Source organism: Homo sapiens, chromosome 15 (genome assembly GCF_000001405.40).
Source record: "Homo sapiens chromosome 15, GRCh38.p14 Primary Assembly".
Lineage (NCBI taxonomy): Eukaryota > Metazoa > Chordata > Mammalia > Primates > Hominidae > Homo > Homo sapiens.
This window is the reverse complement of record NC_000015.10, coordinates 68036776-68056137: the sequence shown is the minus strand read 5'-3', so window position 1 is coordinate 68056137 and position 19362 is coordinate 68036776. Positions and strand designations below refer to the sequence as shown.

Sequence of the window (19362 nt, the reverse complement as noted above, 5' to 3'; positions counted from 1 at the left end):
TGACTCTAAGAGAAAAATTATAGAAAACATGTCTTAAAGTTGTGTGCTTTTTTTTATTTCAAGGGTTAATTATCTCCAAATATTCAAATTCCTAAGGCTTTCTCATTTCAGTCAATAGTTTGAAACTGGGGAAAAATCAAAACCATCCATTGTAAATCTGCTCTCCCTTCAGTAAATTTGTAATTAGAAGTACATTTTAAAAGAATGACACTCAAAGCCAATACCTTAACATACGAATCTTGGAGTGTAAACATTGTGAAGTTATTAGGAGAAAAGCTCTTTCGGTGAGGATATTCCACAGGAAAAACTCTACAGAATCAAATCTGGCATTTGGTTGTTCTAGAAGTTGTCGTTTCATTATAACGGGGAAAAAATTAAATAATTTTTATTTATTATAAAAAGAAGACTCTCCCCAAAGATTTACAATTGTATATCCCCATCTCCTCTCTGACAGAGATGTCAGTTCTCTGGGTCGAGACATAACCAGCTGCTGGGTTCACACACACAGGAAGCCACAGAGAAGATCGCGTTCAGAGCCTCGAAATAATACGCGTTAGTTAAGAACTGCCTGCTACTAAACCAAAATTATTCAAGCGGAGCCCCATTTGTCACAATCCAGTCATAAGGGTTCCACCACCCCCTCCCCCAACTGCTTGTGTAGTGGTATATCTGCTACGGTAAAGAAGCCATCATCAGGTAAAGATTGGGGTGGGAGAAAAGCGGGGAAAAGGGGGCACCCTTTCATCTAATTTCGTGAGGCGTGAGTAATTGGTACTGTTAAGAGGAACGTTCTATTTATCGGGGGTTGGAGTAGCATGAGGGGAGAATTTCGTTCAAATCAACATGGCCAGCAAGATGTCCCTACAAACAAAAGGCAATGGGGGGATATAAACACGAACCATTCACCTCCATCAGCTACAGCATCGCCATCATGGTGTGTGCAGAGACCCCCAAAGGCTCCTCTCACCCTCCACACCAGCTAAGGCAAAAGAAGGGAGAGAGGTAGCTGCATCCCCCCCTCCCAACACTGCTTCCAAAGACACACTCTTCGAGGGGGTTTCTCCCCTCGGCTGCCCGGAATCAGAGAGAAAGAGTAACGTCCCGCTCACTACCTCTCAGCCGAACCCCAACGCCGGCCCGGGGCTCGCTAAACTTTACCAGAGCTTCTCCCCCAGATCCCCACCCTATCGCCCCGGGATCGCGCTTCCCACAAGCGGGGCACCCCAGGCGCTTCCTGACAAGCGAGCAGCCGGGGAAAGCCGAGTCCGGGGCGGGGGCTACTGGGATCCACGGAGGGGCGGGGCGGCCGAAGCCAAGTTCCCGGGGGTCTGAGAAGAGCGCCTGACAGGAGCCCGGGACTGCAAAGGAGGAAGAGGAAGCGGCCACGGGGAGCTTTCCCAATCCCCCCTACGAGAGCACCCTGCCCCCAGCCCCAGCTCCCCATGGGGGGCAGGGAGGCTAACTGGAAGGTGAAAAAGCCGAGCCCATGAGACAGCTGCAGCCCCTACCTCCGGACTCCCTATCTCTTCCCCCGCCACCCCCGCCAGAGGCGCCCACAACAATAACACGCCGGGGACGACCCGTCAGCGCCCCCGAGGCACCCGGGGCCCGCGGCCCGCCGCAGGCGGGCCCCCTCTGCTGAGACCGGGCGCGCCTCTCTCCCTACAACTCCAGGCCCGGGTGGAGTCAGGCCCGAGAGGCCCCCCAGGGTCGGACCCATCCCCCCTGGCAGCAGCGGCGCCGTCTCCGCGGCCGAATATTAGAAGTGAATTCGAGCTGCGCTTTACCTTTAGTTCCGCACTGTCCGCCATCTTGCGTCTGTCAGCGCAAGCGCAGTGAACTTCGCCGGGGGCCGCCGCTAGACCCGCCCCTCTAGCCGGCCTGGCCCCGCCCCGGCCCGCCCCTCCACCTTCCCAGCCCGCCTCTAGCCTCCGCCCCGCTCAGGGCGCTCGAAGCCCCGCCCCGGGCACGTACAGCTGCGAGACAGGCACGTTCCATTTAAATAATGGCGCCAAGCGGCGAGGTTTGACAGTTACTGCCCCCTCGGTCTCCCTGCCCCCCATCCTAGCTCGGCCAGCTCCTCCCGGGAAGGGCCGGAGCGAGAGGGATGCTGGCCTGAGCCCCATCTCTCTGCGGTCCGCGGAACGCTTCTGCATAGCTTCGACGCCTACGGTCACAGAAACAATGCTGTCCCCCAACCCCCAATAAGCAAGGCTTTTTCAGCACCTGCTACCTGCGAGGCTACCAGTGGGCTAAAAATAGAAATCCATTACATTTAAGGGGCCCTTAATGAAGCATTTCTATCATTATTGGCTCAGATCCTCTTGATAACGAGGGGAGGTAGGCAAGGAAGAGATAATTCCCATGGTATAGATTCAGAAATGAAAGCTCAGAGAGGAAAAGTGACTTGCACAAACAAGTATTTTAACGAGGTGGCGTAAGACAAAATTTTGAAGGTGTTCATTAACATTTTTGTTTAAAAAAGTATTTATTTAGTGACCATCTGCTTGCCTTGTGCTAACGGCTAAATATACATTTTGAAATCAAAGTCCGTGCCCTTCTGTAGTTCTCTAATGGGGAATCAGAGAAGTGAACGAACAAAGATACAATTGCAAATGTTAGTGAGTACCAGAAAGGAGCAAAAGGTCATTGAGAGAGAGAAAGGGTTTGGGAGATGTACTTAATTCTGGGAGGGTTTTATCCACTAAATTGACATTTAAGTAGACTTGATGGAAGGATTATTTCATTCCTTTTCGTCTCTACTGAAAGCCTTCTATATACCTCCTCCCCAACCCCCACTTTTACTAATCAACTTTGCCTCATAACTCATGGAAAAAATGAAAGATATCAGAAATAAACTCCCTTATCTTCTCACCATCAAAACCACCCTTATCTGCATAGTAACATTTGGGTTGCTATGAATGAAGTGTCCCTGCGCCTAGGAAGGCCAGTCCCTTTACCAGTGACCGGATTTTTTTCACGCACATTCCTAAGGATTTTACTCTTACAATTACCTACCCTCCAGCATCGTTAGTTTTTTCCCTCTCAATTGAATTGCTCCTATCAGCATATAAATATATTGAAATTTCTCCCATCTAAAATAAACTTCCTTTGACTCCAAAATCGCCTCTAGGAACTGCCCTATTTTTCTGCTATCTTCATAAATTCTTAGAAAGGTTTTTCAAGATCTCTCCAATAGTGCTTGTTCCTACCTCTCACTTCACATTCACTTCTCAGTCTACCCTGATCGAGCTTTGGCTTCCATCATCTGTATCACTTATCAAGATTACTAATGATCTTGTTTCCAAAGGCAATTGCCAATTCTCTATCCATATCTCAATTGACCTCTCTGTAGAATCGCGAATAATTGACATGGTTCCTTTGATTTGAAACACTTTTCCCCCTGAACTTACCTACACGTCACAGATAGTCCTGTTCCCTCACTGGGCCTCCTTTTTGATATGCTGGTTTCTCCTCTTTGGCTCAATCTTTAAATGTTGGACTGCTCCAGGGCTCGGTCCTTGCATTCTTCTCTATTTTATCACCAGGTGATCTCATCTAACTGGTTGACTTGAAGTCTATATGCTCATGACTTTGAAAATGCTCTCTAGCCTAAACCTCTCCATTGTCAAGAAACAAAAGTAAAACAAATTGAGATTCAAGATCTCATTGGCATTATTGCACTCCTAGAATTGGACAAAACTTCATTCCACAAAATAGAATAAATGTTGCAATGAATCAAGCAGAGGATGTTAACTTTAGAGACAGAAAATAGACTGAAGAAGGCAGAAACAACAAAAAGCAGATTGGTTATATCAAAGTCACTTTTCTTTAAGGTGGAGACGTGGAGACAGAACAGTAGAAAGAAAACTGATTGGTTAACATTGGGTTACTTCAGGTATTCTATTTTAAGGATTAAAACAGGAAATTTCATTATCATGCCTGTTAAAGATTGAAACTTCTGTTTGGAAAATTGGCTATCTCTCTTACCATTTTTTGGAAAACCAGATAACTCAGTTTTGTTTTGGTGAACATGGGTGACACCATTTTGATTTTTAGTCTGATCTGGAGGCCTGATGCAGGAATTTGGTTGAAAACAATGGCATCCCATGATTTTTATTTAACAACCTAGGTGAAATTGTGACTAAGACTGAGGGCATTAGCACTACCCTCATTTAACATCATTCTGTGTTTCCAGTCTCAACACATCATTTATAGATTACAGTGTCCTCATGATTTTGTATTTCTGTCATTGCAGCTGAAGAGAGACCATATGACATTCAACAATTGGCTGTATGCAAATATGTAAAACTTTTTGAGAGAACATAATTGAGAATTGTGACTATCAGGAGGACAATGCCAAGAGTTCGGAGTATGCTTCTTAGCTAGGGTTGCCATAAACCAAACCAACTAAAATCAAATAGATCAAAGAATGAGCCAGATGAGAAATCTACCTGTTTTCACCAAGTAGCCTGCTAACTTTTTGAAACTGAGTCTCTACAATACCAGATTATTTATGTACAACAAGAAGTGACAGCAACAGCACAGATTTCCCCGTTTGGTTAGTACGCAGCAATTCTATCATCTAGCATCTCAGAAATGGGTTAAATTAAAGCAAAGAGTGCTAACTCTACAAAAGAGGCCACTAGTAAAATTTGAACAAACAGTTGCATTAGGGATGTTGCTAAAGTTACCCACTAGGTGGAATAAAAGCTCTCTTGGGTCCTGTAAATGTTTGGGTTTGACCCTTTATCAACTTACCCACAAAAACTACTAATTGTGAAATTTTAACTACAGCATTATCCTGCCAAGTGGAAGAGGTGGGCATAAGCAAGAAAAAATTAAGAAGGGAAGGAGTCTTATCATGGTAGCGAGTCTTATTCTGACAGTCTTGGAAAACGCTGTCCACAACATGATGTCAGCAATTTCTCATCCTGGTTTGCAGTTTAAATGTCTCTGGCTGTGGCATCAGGTGTTCTGCTAAACTCTCTATGTGGCTCCCTCATCAAGCATGGGACTTGTCCCTTGAAATTTATATCGAGTTGTTCAGCTTAGCAGTTTTTGTTCATGGTTGGAGAATTGCAGTCAGATATTGAAGGCAACAAGAACTCAGGATCCAGGCTAGTCTATAGATAGATGATAAAAACTCAAAAACAATGAACAAAGCTGCAATCTAGTAACAGGTGTACTATGGTTTTCTTCAGAAACATAATTTTTCTCTCTACAGTCATTCCCATTTCTACCAAAGATAATCATGGTAAGACCAATTTATTTTTAAAATTAATTTAGTTTCAAACTTGACCTGATTATTTACATAAGTGCGGCAAGAATAACCACATAGGCTTCTTTTAAATTTATTTTGCTGGAAATTGTGACAACAAATCTGGACTTTTAAAAACCTCTTGATGTTAGGAAGTCAAACCAAGGCAGACATCAGACTTTGCCTGCAATATCTAATATCTTGAGGCTTCTGGGCCTGCCTGGAAGTGACTACTTTTATTCACTATAAAGCTGAGAACACTTGAAAATTGGCATTCTATGATTCCATGCACATTTTAAAATATGACATTGCTATATATATATATATTCATATATATATTCATATATATGAATATATATATGAATATATATATTCATATATATGTATATATATGAATATATATGTATATATATATGAATATATATATATACGTATATATATATATGATATGGTTTGGGTCTGTGTCCCCAACCAAATGTCACCTTGAATTGTAATAATCCCCAAGTGTCAAGGGCAGGACTAGGTGGATATAATTGAATCGGCATCAATTCAATTGATAATGAATGAATGAAGGAACAGCACTGGCAGTGGGGTGGGAGGGAATTCCGCCATGCTGTGCTTGTAATAGTGAGTTCTCACGAGATCTGATGGTTTTATAAGGGGCTTCCCCCTTTGCTCGGCAACCATTCTCTCTCCTGCCACCCCGTGAAGAGGTACCTTCCACCATGATTGTAAGTTTCCTGAGGCATTCCCAGTCATGTGGAACTGTGAGTCAATTAAACCTCTTTTCTTTATAAATTACCCAGTCTCAGGTATGTCTTCATAGCAGGGTGAGAACAGATTAATACAATATGACATTGCAGTCAAAGCTTTGGTAATATAACCAATATTTCCAGTTGTATTTTGTTGAAGAGAAGAGCTTCTTATTGAACTTATGCAAATAACCATATTGTCATAAAAATAAGAATCTTCATGAATAGTTTCCAGATTTTGGAGGAATTAGGTAGGAAGGAAAAGCAAATCTTTGAATTTTTGGTTGCAAAAGTATGCCTTACCAAATTGCTGTAAGTTATCAGCAGCTTAAAAGAAAAAAAAAATTCCTTAAATATTGAAAAAGAAAACCTATTAAAAGAGAGCCAGCAAGGTTTCGAATTTTATTTATTTTTCTTTTTTCTTTTTCTTTCTTTTTTTTTTTTTGAGACACAGTCTTGTTCTTTTACCCAGGCTGGAGTGCAGTGGCACAATCTTGGCTCACTGCAACCTCCACCTCCAGGGTTCAAGTGATTCTCTTGCCTCAGCCTCCTAAGTAGCTGGGATTACAGGTGTCCACCACCATGCCCAGCTAATTTTTGTATATTTTGTAGAGACAGGGTTTCATCATTTTGCCCAGGCTGGTCTTGAACTCCTGAGCTCAAGCGATCCACCCACCTTGGCCTCCCAAAGTGCAGGGATTACAAGTGTAAGCCACCATAACTGGCCTCAAATTTTAAAAGCTGTAAAGACATCCTGATTTCTCTTTCATTCACCTCTCAAATGAATCCATCAGCCGGTCCAACTGACTCTAAATCAAAGCCCAAGCCAGTTCATTTCACTGCATCTCCACTACCATCATCCACTGATGCTTATTTTTGGACCCATTCCAAGCTGCCATAGTCTCAAAACTGCTGGTAAAACTGCCTAACTCAAAGGGCCACGTTATGACTTCCATGGCCCTAGGCACTTTTGCTTTCTTGGTTTCTATGCTACAGTAAATGTATATACAGTTGACGCTTGAACAACACGAGTTTGAACTGCGCAGATCCACTCGTAGGTGGCTTTTTTCCCTGCCTGTGACACCTCTGAAACAGCAAGACCAACCCCTGGTCTTTCTCCTCCATCTCAGCCTACTCAATGTGAAGACAAGGATGAAGATCTTTATAATGATCCACATCTGCTTAATGAACAATCTTCCGTATGACTTTTGTAATCACATTTTCTTTTCTCTAGCTTACTCTAAGAATGCAATACATAACACATATAATATACAATGTATGTACTAATTGTTTATGTTATTGGTAAGGCTTCTTGTCAACAGTAAGCTATTAATAATTAAGTTTTTGGGGAGTGAAAGTTATGCGTAAATTTTCTATTGTGTGAAGGGTCAGCTCCCCTAATCCCCTGGTTGTGCAAAGATCAACTGTATTTGGGCTTTGTCCCTCGTTCCTGAGACAGAGCTCCTAAAACACATGGAATTTTCTAACAGGAGTATCTTTTGTTTTTCATAACAAGCCTCTTTCAATCACACCTAATGAGGTGACATGGAGTGGGGCCCCTAGATGGCTTCAGGATGGGTGCTGATCCCCACAAAATTAGAAGGGGGCTGGGTATGGTGGCTCACACCTGTAATCCCAGTACTTTGGGAGGCCAAGGTGGGAGGATCGCTTGAGCACAGGAAGTCAGGGCTGCAGTAGGCTGTGTTCACACCATTGAACACCAGGCTGGGTAACAGAGAGAGACCTCCTCCTTCCACCCCCAAAATAATTGAAAAGTGGGAACTTTCAGCCTCACCCCATGCCCTACCTCCAGGGAGAAGAAGGGGCTGGTGATTGAGTTATAAATTCTTCAACAAGAGATAGAAGAGGTTCTGCACTGGCAAACACACGAGAGTACTGTGGGGAAGAGCAACAGGGCACGGAAGCTCTGCATAGTCCCCCTTTACATTGCCCTGTGCATCTCTTCCATTCAGTTATTTGAGTGGCATCCTTCATAATAAACTAGTAAATGTAAGAAACACATTTTCCTCAGTTCTGTGAGTCATTCTAGTGAATTATTCACCATGAGGAAGGAATTATAGGAAGCCTTGACTTCACAGCTGGTCAGTCGGAGTGCAGGTGGCCTAAGGAACTTGTGACTGGTGTCTGAAGGAGGGTATCCTTGTGGGACTGAGCCATTAATTTGTGGGATCTGAACTAACTCCTGGAGTTGACGTCAGAATTGAAATGACTTGTAGGCCACCCAGTTGCTGACAGAGAATTGAAGAATTGGTGTGGAAAGTCACCATGTATTTAGTGTCAGGAAGAACATCAGAGGTACATTCTTCTATTAAAAAATTTAATTATATTTGCTCTTTTTGTTTCTTTGTTTTTTGTTGAGACAGAGTCTCACTCTGTCGTCCAGGCTGGAGTGCAGTGGTGCCATCTCGGCTCACTGCAACTGCGTCCCCTGGGTTCAAGCAATTCTCCTACCTCAGCCTCCCTAGTAGCTGTGATTATAGGTGTGCACTACCACGCCTGGCTAATTTTTGTATTTTTAGTAGAGACAGGGTCTTGCCATCCCCGGCCCCACCTTCTAATTTTGTGGGGACCAGCACCCATCCTAAAGCCATTTAGGGGCCCCACTCCATGTCACCTCATTAGGTGTGATTGAAAGAGGCTTGTTATGAAAAGAGGCTTGTTATGTCTCAAACTCCTGACCTCAAGTGATCTGCCCGCCTCGGCCTCCCAAAGTGCTGGGATTACAGGCGTGAGCCACCACATCCTGCCAAAAAAAAAACTATATTTCTTTTTTTTCTTTTGAGACAGAGTTTCACTCTTGTTGCCCAAGCTGGAGTGCAATGGCACAATCTCGGCTCACTGCAACCTCTGCCTCCCAGGTTCAAATGATTCTCCTGCCTCAGCCTCCCAAGTAGCTGGGATTACAGGCACGCACCACCACACCCAGCTAATTTTTTGTATTTTTAGTAGAAACAGGGTTTCACCATGTTAGCCAGGCTGGTCTCGAACTCCTGACCTCAGGTGATCCGCCTGCCTCAGCTTCCCAAAGTGCTGAGATTACAGGCGTGAGCCACTGTGCTTGGCCTATATTTCACTTTTTTTTTAAAGAGAGGGTCTCCATATGTTGCCCAGGCTGGTCTAGACCTCCTGACCTCAAGTGATCCTCCCACCTCAGCTTCCCAATAGCTGGGATTATAGGCACAGGCCACCAAGCCCAAAAAATTATGTTTTAAAACTGTGTTGCTATAAATACAAATGTAATCCCAACTGATTATGTTAGTGGATCTTTGGGGTGTTGGTTTTTGGCTGGAAACCTCTGTGGCCAGTGGCACCTTTGTCCAAGTTTTGCTCAGGCCCGCTGGGCTCACTCTGCCCACTTGGCTTTGCAGGCTGCGCTCGGCTCACACTACCAACCAGGATCCCTCCCCTGCCGAGGGAGACTGCATGAAGTGGTGAGGGGTGAGGGGTGAGGGGTGTGTGAGTGAGCATGGAGTCCAACTGTGCAGTCAGACATGCCGGCTGCCTCAGCAGGGTGAGCAATTCTAGGTGCCAGCTTGCACGCTGGCTCTCTGCAAGGCTGCAGCTGGACCAGGCACATGCAAGCAGCTTCCATTCCTGGCACCAGGGAACATGGTGGTGCCTGGAAGCTTGGAGACACCAGGAACCGAAGGGCTCCAAGGAGGGAGTGACAGCCCTGGCTTGAAGAGCTCCCAGGTCTGAGCTCCCCGAAGGGCCACAGCTCTTCTTTCCTCCTCTTCGCCTGCAAGGTGGCGAGATGGGGATGGCTCCTCTCTGCTAGGCAAGTCATCCCAACAAGTGTTGAGTTCTAGAAGCAAAGAGGGTAGCTCCTTCTGCAGCTAGCCATCCTGACAAGTGTTCAGCTATCAGCAGAGAGGGTAGCTCCTCTCTGCAGCTGGACGTCTCATCATCTGCAGTGCTCTGGCTGAGCCCAGGGCTTTTATGGGCCTCAGATGGGAGGAAGTGCTGCCAATTGGTCTGTGGGCGGCCATGGGAGGGCCTGGAAAAGGCACCACAAGTTCCCACTCCAGTCAGCAGTACTAGCAGCCTGGCCTGAAGGTGGGGCTTCACCAGTAACCTGTCCTCTTCCACCCAGGAGCCGATCTGCCTCCTGCCACCATCCATGGTGCCCAGGCTGCTTGTGCAAAAGGGCACCTGTAGGCCAGTGCTGGGTTGCCCTCAGGCGCCCCTCGGCTTCCCCCCAGAGCTCCTTGGGGCCCAAATTCCGGAAAGGACCAAGACAGCAGGGGGCTGGTGTGTCAGCTCTGCTCCAAGTGTGCACACACCTGGCCAGACTGTAACAGTGCCTGGGCTCAGCCCCAACCCTGCTCTGAGATTGGAGCAGGCACCAGGGGCAGGGAGAGGCCAGGCAGCAGGAGCAGACACCCCCCAAGCCTGAGGGGGGAGGGGGACTTTCCCAGGACCCCAAGGGTGCAGACTGCAGAGATGCCCAGGTCCTGTGCCTGGGAGGGTAGGACTCCCGCCTGCCTACTCTGTGGAGCAGCATGCAGGCAGCCCTGGCCATGCCTCCTTGCAGCTCCAGGTCCTTACTGGGCCCCTCTCTGCCCACCCCTCTGTGCCCAACCATGCTGCTCCCTGCTGGCAGGTGGCTCAGCTCAGCCCCATTGCAGTGGCACCCAACGTGGCAGGCTTGGCGGGGGGGCTCTCGCTTACCCTGGCTCCTGCTGGCTCTGTGGAGCACAGCATTACTCCAGCCCAGCTCTGCCTCCTCCTGGCACCCTCCCCACAGCAGCTGACCTGATGACAGCGACCGCCGTGGACAGCCCGCTGCTGCCATCAATTGCACTTAATTTGTTCTTATTATTTGAAAAGATTTAAAGCATTTTCATGGGACCCTAAGATTATTGTGGCCTTCAGCCAATACAAAAAAAAAAATGAAAAAACTCAAAATGAATCATAGACCTGAATTTAAAAATTAAAATTAAAAAATTATTAGATGAAAATCCCTATGTTATTGAGTTAGACATAGTCTTCTTAGATATGGATCACACACTTAGATATGAATACCAACATGCATGTTGGTAGGAAAGGTACAGCCACTATGGAAAATAGTTTGGTACTTCCTTTGAAAACAAGATGTACTTATTGTACAACTCAGCATTTGCACCCTTAGACAGAGAAATGACATTTTCACACAGAAGTTTGTAGAAGAATGTTCATAGCAGCTGTATTTATGAGTCCAAAACTGGAAACTACCCAAATCTCCTTTGATGAATAAATGGCTAAAACTGCGATACATACATACCATGGACTACTAATCAGCAATGAAAAAACAATACAACACCTTGGATAAATCTCTAGGAAATTATGCTGGGTTAAAAAAAATAATTTCAAAAGAATACATAGTACATTATTGCCTTTATGTAACAATCATGTAATAACATAATTATAGACATAGGCTGGGCTTGGTGGCTTGCACCCATACTCCCTGCACTTTGGGAGGCTGAGTCAGGTGGATCGTTTGAGCCTAGGAGTTCAAGACCAACCTGGGCGACATAGCAAGACCCCTGTGTCTAAAAATAATAATAATAATAACATAATTATTGAGATAGAGAACAGGCTAGTCATTCTCTGGGGATTAGGGAAGGGTAGAAAGGATGGGTGATATTGATGCCAATTTTTTGGTTGTGATATTGTATTATAGTTGCATAGGATGTTAACATTGCAGGAGACTGAGAGAAGGGTACATGTGACTTCCCTGTACATTTCTCTTGCAGGTGACTCTACAATTATTTCAAAATAAAAAGTAGGTGTATATAGACTGTCCCCAGCTTACAATGGTTTGATCTACAATTTTAAAACTTTACCACCGTGCAAAAGCAATACACATTTGGCCAGGCGCAGTGGCTCATGCCTGTAATCCCAGCACTTTGGGAGGCCGAGGTGGGTGGATCATCTGAGATAAGGAATTCAAGACCAGCCTGGGCAACATGGTGAAACCCCGTCTCTACTTTTTAGTAGTATTTTTATACAAAATTCAGCTTGGCGCAGTGGCATGTGCCTGTAATCCCAGCTACTGGGGAGGCTGAGGCAGGAGAATTACTTGAACCCAGGAGGTGGAGGTTGCACTGAGCTGAAATCACACCACTGCACTCCAGCCCAGGCGACAGAGCAAGACTCCATCTCAAAAAAAAAAAAGCAATACACATTCAGTAGAAACCATACTTCAAGTACCTATACAACCATTCTGTTTTCACTTTCAAAAACTATCCAATAAATTAACACATAAGATATTAAACACTTTATGATAAAATAGGCTTGTGTTAGGCAACTTTGCCCAATTGTAAGCTAATATAAGTGTTCTGAGCACATTTAAGGTAGGCTAGGGTAGGCTATGATGTTTGGTAGATTAGGTGGATTAAATACATTTTCAATTTGAGATAGTTTCAGTTTATGATGGGTTTGTCTGAACGTAATCCCATCTTAAGCTGAGGAACATCTGTATGTGTACATATATGAAAAGTATACATATGTGTATGTGTTTATGTGTGTATACATATATGTGTGTATGTATATATGTACATACATATATTGCATATATTGAAACATTGACATCGATAACACCCATCCTCTCTACCCATCCGTAATTCCCAGAGAACTACTAGCCTGTTCTCCATCTCTATAATTACATTATTATTACTTTTTTAGGGGTGTGTGTGTGTGTGTGTGTGTGTGTGTGTGTGTGCATAATGAAGATGCAATATGTCCGAATTTGTGGAGAGAGGGACATCAGCAAAATGGAGAAATAGGCAGCTACAAACTTTCACACCGCCACAGAAATATTGAACAAATAACCAGAAATTGTCAGAGCAACTTTATCAGAACTTTGGGAAATAGTTAAAGATTTACAGCAACCAAGCAAATGCTCATTTTAAAAAATTATTTATTACCTTTTAAATTTTTTATGTTTTTAGAGACAAGGTTTCATCACATTGCCCAGGCTGGTCTTGAATTCCTGGGCTCAAGTAATCCTCCTGCCTTAGCCTCCCAAAGTGCTCTGATTATAGGGTAAGCCAACACGCCCAGCCAATTTTTTTTCTAAGGCAACTTGAAAATGGAAAGAAAACTTTATGAACCCTTCCCTGACTCAATAGCAGTCTTAGCGACAGCAGCCCACCTTCCCAGGGTGGGACTCCGGTCCTTGTTTATAGAGAGCAGAGCCAACTTTATACACAATTATTAGGTATGTCTATTCTAACCTGCCTGGGTGTTACCTGAAAAACTGAAACAAAGTGCTCATTTCTGTTTTCACACTGTAACCCACTGTAGAAAAGCAGCAGGCGTTGTTTAAACATTGTAAGGCAAACAAACAAACTGCAACTGCCTGGGGCCGAAGAGTACAGTTGGTACATAGAATAACTTTCCTAAAGCCTGGGAGTAAAAGCCAGGGAGAGAGAATTGTTGGGAAATTAGGGCATTCAAATTCAAAAGTGCTCTGTATATAGGGCAACTTAGAAAGCAACACACATGTCTGGGACAGGATGCATGTTCAGAGAACTGAGAACAGCCTAAGATTCCACCACTGGTTGATATATAGACTCAGTGCAACCAGGAAATGACTGCTGAGGAAGAATTTCAAATGGCCTTATTAAGTGTTAAAGGGGTGCTCCTGCAAAAACTCAGATGCAAAGATTGGAAAAAGTTTTTTGTTTGTTTTTTAAGTTCCCCATGTTCAGGGAAATTTCGGTAAAAACCCTGGCTGTACAAAAGTTAAGCCATCAACAATCAAGAACAGCAAACTCTAGGGAATGTAAATATTTGTTTTCCAGAGATAACACATTATAATAGTCAAATGTCCAGTTTTCAACAACAACAAAAACCCACAAAGCATACAAAGAAATAGGAAAGCAGTGGGAAAAATAAATTGACAGAAACCATCGCTGAGGCAGCACAGACGTTAGACTTACTAGACACAGACTTTAAGTAACTTTTTTTTTTTTTTTTGAGACAGAGGGCATTTTGTATGTCTTCTTTTGAGAAGTGGCTCTTCATGTCCTTTGCCCACTTCTTATTTTTTATTTTTTTGAGACATAGTCTTGCTCTGTCGCCCAGGCTGGAGTACAGTGGTGCAATCTCAGCTTATTGCAACCTCTGCCTCCTGGGTTCAAGTGATTCTTCTGCCTCAGCCTCCTGAGTAGCCATGACTACAGGTGCATGCCATCATGCCCAGCTAATTTTTTGTATTTTCAGTACAGATGGGGTTTCACTGTGTTAGCCAGGATGGTCTCAATCTCCTGGCCTTGTGATCCACCTGCCTCGGCCTCCCAAAGTGCTGGGATTACAGGTATGAGCCACCACACCCAGCCTTTGCCCACTTTTTAATGGGATTGATTGTTATTTGAGTTCCTTGTATATTCTGGATATTAGTCTCTAGAAAAATGAATAGTTTGCAAATATTTTTTCCCTTATAACAGGCTGTTTCTTCACTCTGTTGATAGTTTTCTTTGCTGTGTCAAAGTTTTTTAGTCTAATAAAGTCCCATTTGTCTATTTTTCTTTTTGTTGCCTGTGCTTTCAAGGTCTTAGCCATGAAATCTTTGCCTAGACCAGTGTCCTGAAGTGTTTTCTCTATATTTTTTCTAGTATTTTAATAGTTTCAGATCTTACCTTTAAGTCTTTAATCTATTTTAAGTTGATTTTTCTATATGGTGAGAGATAGGGGTCCAGTTTCATTCTTCTGCATATGAATTTCCAATTTTACTAGTACAATTTGTTGGAGAGACTGACCTTTCCCCAATGTATGACCTTGGTGCCTTTGTTGAAAATCAGTTGTCTGTAAACATGCAAATTTATTTCTGGATTCTCTATTCTGTTGCATTGGTCTATGTGTTTGTTTTTATACAAATACCATCCTGTTTTGTTTACTATATCTGCGTCTAGCTTTGTTCTTTTTGCTCATGATTGCTTTGGCTATTCAGGTGTTTTTTTTTTTTCCTGGTTCTACACAAATTTTAAAATTGCTTTGTCTAATTCTGTGAAAAAATGATGTTGATATTTTAATAGAGATTGCACTGCATTTGTAGATTGCTTTAAAGAGTATGGTCATTTTAATGATACTAATTCTTCCAGTCATGAGATGCGATGTCTTTCCATTTGGTTGTGTACTCTTCAATTTCTTTTATCAGTACTTTGTAGTTTTCCTTGCAGAGATCTTTCACCTCCTTGGTTAAATTACTCCTAGGTATATTTTTTTGTCACTATTGTAAATGGAATTACCTTTCTTATTTCTCTCTTGGCTAGTTTATTATTAATAACACTACTGATTTTTGTATGTTAATTTTGTATCCTGTAACTTTACTGAATTATTTTCTCAACAAAGAGTTTTTTGGTGGAGTCTTTAGGTTTTTCTAGATATAAGATCACAGATCATATCATCAGCAAAGAGGGACAGTTTGAGTTCCTCTTTTCCAATTTGGATGCCATATATTTCTTTCTCTTGCCTAATCACTCTGGCTAGGATTTCCAGTATTATATTGAATAAGAGTCATGAAAGTGGGCATCTTTGTCTTGTTCCAGTTCTTAGAGGAAAGGCTTTCAGCTTTTCCCCATTCAGTATGGTGTTAGCTGTGGGTTTGTCATACATGTCCTTTATTATGGTGAGGTATGCCTTCTCTGCCTAGTTTGTTGAGAGTTTTTATCAGGAAGGGATGTTGAGTTTTATTAAACACTTTTTCTGCATGAGTTGAGAGATCATATGGTTTTGGTCCTTCATTCTGTTAATGTGATGGATGCTGTTTACTGATTTGCGTATGTCAAACCATCCTTGCATCCCTGGGATGAATCCCACTTGATCATGGTGTATTATCTTTGTGGTATGCTGTTGGATTTGATTTGCTAGTATTTTTGAGGATTTTTGTGTCTATGTTCATCAGGTATATTGGTCTGTAGTTTTCTTTTTTGTTGCATCCTTGTCTGGTTTTGGCATCTGGGTAATGCTGGCCTCATAGAATGAGTTAGGGAGAATCTCCTCCTCTTCAATTTTTTGGAAAAGTTTGTTGGCAATTGGTGTTAGCTCTTCTTTGAAAGTTTGGTAGAATTCAGTAGTGAAGCCATCTAGTCCTGGACTTTTCTTTGTTGGGAGACTTTTATTACTTCTTTGATCTCATTACTTGTTACTGGACTGTTTAGGTTTTCTCTCTTCCTGGTTCAATCTTGGTAGGTTATATATATTGAATCTTTCCATTTTCTCTAGATTTTCCAGTTTACTGTATATAGTTGCTCATGATAGTATCTGATGATCTTGTGTATTTCTGAGTATCTGTTATAATGTCTCCTTTTTCGTTTCTGATTTTATTTGGATCTTTTTTTTTTGCTTAGTCTAGCAAGTGGTTTATCAATTTTGGTTCTTTTCAAAAAGCCAACTCTTCATTTTGTTGATCCTCTGTATTGTTTATTATTTATTTATTTATTTATTTTGAGATGGAGTCTCACTCTGTCGCCCAGGCTGGAGGGTAGTGGCGTAGTCTCAGCTCACTGCAACCTCCCCTTCCCAGGTTCAAGTGATTCTCCTGCCTCAGCCTCCTGAGTAGCTGGGATTACAGATGCATGCCACCACGCCCAGCTAATATTTTGTATTTTTAGTAGAGACGGGTTTTCACCATGTTAGCCAGGATGGTCTCAATCTTCTGACCTTGTGATCTGCTTGCCTTGACCTCCCAAAGTGCTGGGATTACAGGTGTGAGCCACTGCACCTGGCTAATCCTTTGTATTGTTTTTTTAGTGTCAATTTCATTTAGTTCTGCCTTGATGTTTATTATTTCTTTCCTTCTACTAATTTTGGTTTTGGTTTGATCTTGCTTTTTAAGTTCCTTGAAGTGCATTATTAGATTATTTACTTTAAATCTTTCTACTTTTTTGATGTAGGCACTTATTTCTATAAACTTCCTTCTCAGCACTGCTTTTGTTGTATCCCGTAGATTTTGGAATGTTATGTTTTGATTTTCATTTGTTTCAAGAATTTTTTTCATTTCTTCCTTAATTTCTTCCTTGACCCAAGGTCATTCAGGAGCATGTTGTTTAATTTTCATGTATTTGTACAGTTTCCACAGTTCCTCTTGTTATTGACTTGGTTTTTGGTGGTTTGATAAAATTGTGACATATCAATTTTCAAAAGCTTGTTGAGACACATTTTGTGTCCCAATATATGGTCTATCCTGGAGAATGTTGTGTGTGCCAATGAGAATAATGTATGTTCTGTAGCTGTTGGATGAAATGTTCTATAAATGTCTGTCAGACCCATTTGGTCTAATGCGGAGTTTATATCCAGTGTTTCTGTGTGAATTTTCTGTCTAGATGATCTGTTTAATGCTGAGAGTGGGCTGTTGAAGCCCCCAACTATTATTTTATTGGAATCTGTCTCTCCCTTTAAATCTAATAAAATTTGCTTTATATATCTGGGTGCTCCAGTGTTGGGTGCATATGTATTTAGAACTGTTATATCCTCTTGCTAAATTGATCCCTTTATCATTATACAATGACCTTCTGTGATGGTTAATACTGAGTATAAACTTGATTGAATTGAAGGATGGAAAGTATTTATCCTGGATGTGTCTGTGAGGGTGTCGCCAAAGGAGATTAACATTTGAGTCAGTGGACTGGGTGGGACTGAGTCAGACCCACCCTTAATCTGGGCACCATCTAATCAGCTGCCAGCACAGCTAGAATACAAGGCAGGCAGAAAAAAAAATGTAAATAGACTGGCCTAGCCTCCCAGCCTACGTCTTTCTCCCATGCTGGATGCTTCCTGCCCTTGAACATCAGACTCCAAGTCCTTCAGTTTTGGGACTCATGCTGTCTCTCCTTGCTCCTCAGCTTGCAGATGGCCTATTGTGGGTCCTATTGATGGCCCTTGTGAGTTAATACTTAAGGAACTCCCCTTTATATATCCTATTAGTTCTGTCCCTCTAGAGAATGCTGACTAATATATCTTGTCTCTTTTTATTGTTTTTTACTTCAAGTTCATGTTATCTAAGTGTAGCTACTCCTGCTCACTTTTGATTTGTTTGCTTGGAATATCTTTTTCCATCTTTTTACTTTCAGTCTATATGTGTTTTTCCACATGATATCTGTTTCTTATAGGCAGTAAATAATTGGGTCTTTTAAAAAATCCATTCAGCCAGTCTACATCTTTTAAGTGGAAAGTTTAATTCATTTACGTGCAAAGTTATTATTGATATGTGATGGCTTTTTCTTATCATTTTAGTAAATTATTCCTGGGTGTTTTGTAAGTCCTTTAGTCATTTTTTTTCTTTATTATTGTTTAACACTGTGGTTTGGTGGCTTCTGTAGTGATAACATTTGAGTCTTTTCTCTTCCTTGTTTGTGCATTTGCTCTACCAGTTGTTCTTACATTCTTACATGTTTCATAATGGTAAATAACATTCTTTCTCTGGCAAATTCCTTATTCATATCTTGAATTGTTTTACTGATTTCTTTGTTATTTCACTTCCATCTGTAGGACTCCCTTAAGCATTTCTTGTAGGGAGCAGAGGGGAGAGGAGGACTTTATCCTGAATATGTGTCTATGGTTTGGTTGCATAGGATGTGTTGGCTTTGATTCTGGGTGGTGATGAATTTCCTCAGTTTTTGCTTGTCTGGGAAAGACTTTATTTCTCCTTCATTTATAAAGGATAATCTTGCTGGGTATAGCATCCTTAATTGGCAGTTTTTTCTTTCAGCACTTTGCATATACTATACTCTCCTGGCCTGTAAAGTTTCTGCTGAGAAGTCCACTATTAGTCTGATATGGGTCCCTTTATAGGGAACCAGATGTTTTTCTCTTGCTGTTTTTAGAATTCTCTCTCTGTTTTTGACAGTTTGACTATAATATGTCATGGAGAAGAACTTTGCATTATATCTATTTGGGGATCTCTAAGCCTCTTGTATCTGGATGTCTAAATCTCTCGCCAGACTTGGGAAATTTTTATCTGTTATTTCATTAAATAGGTTTTCTAACTCTTTTCTCTTTGCCTTCTAGGACTCCAAAAGTTTGAATATTTGGTTGCTTTATGGTGTTTTATGTGTCAAGTTAGGGTTTGCTCATTCTTTTTTATTTTTGTCTAACTGGTTTATTTCAAAAGACCATTCTTCAAGTTCTGAGATTCTTTCTTCTCCTTGATCTACCCTATTGTTGAAGCTTTCAAATGTATTTTGTATTTTATTCAAAAATAAACAGTGTACACTGGTGTTGGTGGTAGCTGTGATGGGCTGTGTGAGCTAGTCCCCAGGCCTGCAGGTGACATGCACAGGTAATTGCAAGCTGTTGTGGTAGTGGCAGGGTGGGTAGGCCCCTGGGAGGAGTGGTCAGGTGTCA

General features: G+C 42.3%; 1 protein-coding gene across 6 annotated transcripts in view, besides 3 other annotated features; it reads right to left on the bottom strand.

The window, feature by feature from the left end:
- The window catches only part of PIAS1 (protein inhibitor of activated STAT 1), a 139533-nt gene extending 137710 nt beyond the window's left edge, over window positions 1-1823 (bottom strand). The window contains exons 1-2 of one of the 6 annotated variants that reach the window (XM_011522126.3): window positions 900-1823; window positions 225-339 (exon numbers count right to left, since the gene is read on the bottom strand). Coding sequence is in view for 5 of the 6 variants with exons in the window: in NM_001320687.1 (NP_001307616.1) it covers window positions 225-254 (30 nt within the window). In the remaining variant the exon portion in view is untranslated. Of the gene's footprint in view, window positions 1-224 lie in introns of all 6 variants that reach the window. The other 5 variants (NM_001320687.1, XM_017022688.2, XM_017022689.2 and 2 more) reach the window with 5 other exon arrangements.
- Window positions 1525-2024: a silencer, noted in NCBI's record as "silent region_6583". NCBI's record gives its function as "represses an Ori minimal core promoter by ATAC-STARR-seq in GM12878 lymphoblastoid cells {active_cell/tissue: GM12878}" and the evidence as "EXISTENCE:reporter gene assay evidence [ECO:0000049][PMID:35858748]".
- Window positions 10126-10645: an enhancer, noted in NCBI's record as "H3K4me1 hESC enhancer chr15:68337831-68338350 (GRCh37/hg19 assembly coordinates)". NCBI's record gives its function as "activates a minimal SCP1, AML or CMV promoter by ChIP-STARR-seq in naive H9 embryonic stem cells {active_cell/tissue: H9 hESC(naive)}" and the evidence as "EXISTENCE:reporter gene assay evidence [ECO:0000049][PMID:30033119]".
- Window positions 10646-11166: an enhancer, noted in NCBI's record as "H3K4me1 hESC enhancer chr15:68337310-68337830 (GRCh37/hg19 assembly coordinates)". NCBI's record gives its function as "activates a minimal SCP1, AML or CMV promoter by ChIP-STARR-seq in naive H9 embryonic stem cells {active_cell/tissue: H9 hESC(naive)}" and the evidence as "EXISTENCE:reporter gene assay evidence [ECO:0000049][PMID:30033119]".